The 4,548-nt window shown below is 41.5% G+C and overlaps 1 pseudogene; it reads right to left on the minus strand.

The window, feature by feature from the left end:
• On the minus strand, window positions 1,442-2,690 carry HNRNPA1P43 (heterogeneous nuclear ribonucleoprotein A1 pseudogene 43; annotated as a pseudogene).

Genomic DNA, 4,548 nt, shown 5'->3' on the forward strand with positions numbered 1-4,548 from the left:
GTGATCTTTATATTGTTGTGGTAACAGTTGTAAGGTCTTCTGGTTTCTGATTGTGTTTGTTTGGGTCTTCTCTCTTTTTTTCTTAGTCTAGCCAGCAGTTTATGAATTTTGTTTATCTTTTCAAAAGCCAACTTTTTGTTTAGTTGATTCTTTTTTTCTTTTTTTTGTCCCTATTCATTTTGTTCTGCTCTGATCTTTATCTTTTCTTTACTTTTACTAATTTTGAGTCTGGTTTGCTCTTGCTTTTCTAGTTTATTGAGGTGCATAATTGGTTATTTGAAATCTTTCTACTTTTCTGGTGTAGGCATTTATTGCTATAAACTTCTCTCTTAGCAATGCTTTGCAGTATCCCATTGGTTTTGGTAAGTTGTGTTTTCTTTTTTTTTTTCCCAAGAGAATTAAATGGGTTATTGATTACACATGACAATGGATGATACACAAGCTTTATTCCCATCTATAATTTTATCTGGTACCATTATTCAATTTAGATACACTGCATAGGATGTGCCAACAAACTTTTTTTTTTTTTTTTTTGAGACAGAGTCTCGCTCTGTCGCCCAGGCTGGAGTGCAGTGGTGCAATCTCGGCTCACTGCAACCTCTGCCTCCTGGGTTCACGCCATTCTCCTGCCTCAGCCTCCCAAGTAGCTGGGACTACAGGCACCCACCACCACGCCTGGCTAATTTTTTGTATTTTTAATAGAGATGGTGTTTCACAATGTAGGCCAGGATAGTCTCGATCTCCTGACCTGGTGATCCGCCCGCCTTGGCCTCCCAAAGTGCTGGGATTACAGGCCTGAGCCACCGTGCCCAGCCCCCAACAATCATTTTTATAACCAATAATTCCATGATTTTGCTTGGGCAATCCCTTTTAATGGTGAACTTCAGGTCACAACAGTAACTGTCAGTTCAACTACACCAAGGTTTCTGAAGACAGTGGCTTCTTCACCCAAGCAGGTTGTATATAAATTCCAAATAGAACCTGGTATCACCCTGAAGGAATTCTAACTTCACACTGTTGGGGAAATTTACCAAGATGGCTTCAGAGTAGACTAACTTAGCATGTTTTTTTAAAAGACACATTTATTCAGCATCACAATCAGACCATTATATTTAGCAATCAACAGCATGGGTGGAAAAGAAAAAAAAAAAAACTGGCCGGGTGTGGTGGCTCATGCCTGTAATCCCAGCACTTTGGGAGGCCGAGGCAGGCGGATCACGAGGTCAGGAGATCGAAACCATCCTGGCTAACACGGTGAAACCCTGTCTCTACTAAAAATACAAAAAATTAGCCCGGCGTAGTGACTGGTGCCTGTAGTCCCAGCTACTTGGGAGGCTGAGGCAGGAGAATGGCGTGAACCCAGGAGGTGGAGGTTGCAGTGAGCCGAAATCGAGCCACTGCACTCCAGCCTGGGCAACACAGCGAGACTCCATCTCAAAAAAAAAAAAAAAAACTACATTAAAACCCTTTGTTGGAATGCTTTACACTTTCCGCAGAACAGAAACTAAAATAACCTGTTATACAATTAGTCACAAATACAGTCCTCCTCAAGTTTTTTTGCCCATACACATGAGTATTTGTCTCAAACATGTCTTCTTTATAGTAGCTAGGCCCTGCCACCACTGTGCTTGGCTGAGTTCACAAATCTTTTGTAACCTGTAGCTTCCCTGTCACTTCCCTGGCTCTCCTCTCCTGCTAAGATTTGTTTCCTGGCAGTAATTAAAATCTTCCGCCACTGCCATAGCTCTGCTGCTACTGGAACCACCGTAGCCACCTTGGTTTCATGGTTTGGCAAAGTATTGGCCTCCACCACCATAGGGGCCAGAGTTTCTGCCTCCAAAGTCTCCTGCCTTCATGGGTCCAAAATTTGAAGACTGATTGTTGTAACTGCCAAAATCATTACAGCTTCTACCACTTCCAAAATTGCTTCCATCATTACCAAATCCATTATAGCCATCTCCACAACCATTGAAGTTTCCTCCATGACCAAAGTTGTCATTCCAAAAACTACCTCCATGACCACCACCAAAGTTTCCAGAACCACTTCGACCTCTTTGGCTGGATGAAGCACTAGACATCTCTTGCTTTGACAGGGCTTTCCTAACTTCACAGTTGTGGCCATTCACAGTATAGCATTTCTGAATGACAGTCTTATCCATGGAGTCATAGTCGTCAAAGGTTACAAAGGCAAAGCCCCTCTTCTTGCCACTGCCTCGGTCAGTTATTATTTCAATCAGTTCCATTTTTCCACACAGTTCAAAATAATCTCTTAGGTGATGTTCTTCAGTGTCTTCTTTAATACCACCAACAAATATCTTTTTCACAGTTAAGTGGGCACCTGGTCTTTGAGAATCTTCTCTTGAGACAGCTCTCTTTGGTTCCACAACTCTTCCGTCGACCTCGTGTGGCCTCGCATTCATGGCTGCATCCACCTCCTCCACAGTGGTATATGTGACAAACCCAAAGCCCCTGGAGAGCTTGGTGTTTGGATCTCTCATTAACACTCAGCCCGTGAATTCCCCATTGCTCAAAATGGCTCCTCAGGCTCTCGTTGGTTGTTTCAAAACTCAATCCTCCAATGAAGAGCTTCCTCAGCTGTTAGGGCTCTTTAGGAGATTCTGACTTAGACATGACGGCAGGGGGATGAGAGACTTTACAATGCTTCCTCGGCGGCATCCATGGGCAGAAAGAACATGTTTCCATTTTCATTTGCTTCATGAAATTTTTTTATTTCCTTCTGAATATCTTTATTGACCCAATTGTTAGGAGCATGTTGTTTAATTTCCATGTATTTGTACAGTTTCCAAAGTTCCTCTTGTTATTGATTTTCAGTTTTATTCCATTGTGAGCTGAGAAGATACTTGTTATGATTTTGATTTTTAAAAGTTTGTTAAGACTTGTCTTGTGGTCTAATATATGGTCTATCCTGGAGAATGTTCCATGTGTTGATGAGTAGGATGTGCATTCTGCAGCTGTTGGATGAAATGTCTTGTAAATGTCTGTTAGGTTCAGTTAGTCTCTAGTGCATACTGAGTATGATGTTTCTTTGCTGGTTTTCTGTCTAGATCTGTGCAATGATGAAAGTGAGATGTTGAAGTCTTCAACTGTTAGTATATTGGAGTCTCCCTCTTTAACAATATTGGTTTTATATACCTGGGTACTCCAGTGTTAGGTATTTACAATTGCTATATCCTCTTGCTTAATTGATCCCTTTATCATTTTATAATGACCTTTTTTGTCCCTTTTTATGTTTTTTGACTTTAAGTCTATTTTGTCTGATATAAGTATAGCTACAGAAGCATATTTTTGGCTTCTGTTTGTGTGGAATATTTTTGTCTATTCCTTTTCTTTCAATCTATGTGTGTCTTTACAAGTGAAGTAAGTTTTTTAGGCAGAATATAATTGTGTCTTTTTTTTTGATCTATGCAGCCAGTCTATAGCTTTTAATTGAGGAATTTAAGCTGTTTACATTGAAGGTTGTTTTTGATAGGTGACGACATGTTATTATCATCTCGTTGTTTTCTGATTGTTTTGTATTTTTTGTTTTATTGTTCACGTCTACAGTTTGGTCTGTTTTGTGGTAATAACAGTTGACTCCTTTCTTCTCATTTGTGTGTCTGCTTTATCAACGAGTTTTATTTTTTGTGTGTTTTCATATATATGTAGATGTAGTTCTTTTGCTTCCAGATGTAGGATTTCCTTAAGCTCCTCATCATTTATTTTGTTGAATTTGTCATTCAGATCATGAATTCTTTCCTTGATTTCTTTGTACCATTCATTTGGGTTGTCCTATCTCACTGACTTTTTCTAATGTCATTATTTTGAAGTTTTTTCCAGGCATTTCATAAATTTCCTTTTCTTTGGGCTCTGTTACTGGTAATTATAATGTTCCTTTGGAGGTGTCATGTTTTCTTGCTTTTTCATGTTTTTGTGTCCTTACCTTAATATCTACACATCTATTGTAACAGTCACTTCTTCCAGTTTTATCGGTTGGCTTTTGCAGTGAAATATTTTTCCTGTAGATGTTTCTGTAGTGTTGGTTGGAAAAGGCATTTTGGCATTGATTCTTGGTGGGGGTAGTAGCGTAGCCTTTGTATGATTTCTTCAGCTGTAATCAGCTCATCAGTGGCATCTGTGAGTTCCTCAGTGGCTTAGGCTGCAGTTGTTAGTGGAGGCTGTGGTGACACTTTGCTGATGATGCGAATGCCAGATGGGCCAGTCCTCGGGCAACAGTGGTGGTGGTGGTGGTGGTGTGCTGAGCATGCCAGTCCTCAGGTGCCAAAGTAGTATATGTGGGCACCAGCAGTGACAAGTTCAGGAGGGCAGAGCCTGGGGCCCCCAGATGTTGTGCGTGGTGCCAGCAGTGGCAGGTCCTGAAGGGCAGGTCCTCTGGTCCCCAGACAGCATGTGTGATGTTGGTGGTGGCAGTAGCAGCGGCAGGCCAACCCTCAGAACACCAAGCAGTGCACACAGGCACCAGCAGTGGTGGTGGCAGTCTGGGTGTGCTGGACCACAGTCTCCTGGGTGGTACATGTGGGCAGGGGCTGG

This window comes from Homo sapiens, chromosome 1 (assembly GCF_000001405.40).
Source record: "Homo sapiens chromosome 1, GRCh38.p14 Primary Assembly".
NCBI classification, from domain to species: domain Eukaryota; kingdom Metazoa; phylum Chordata; class Mammalia; order Primates; family Hominidae; genus Homo; species Homo sapiens.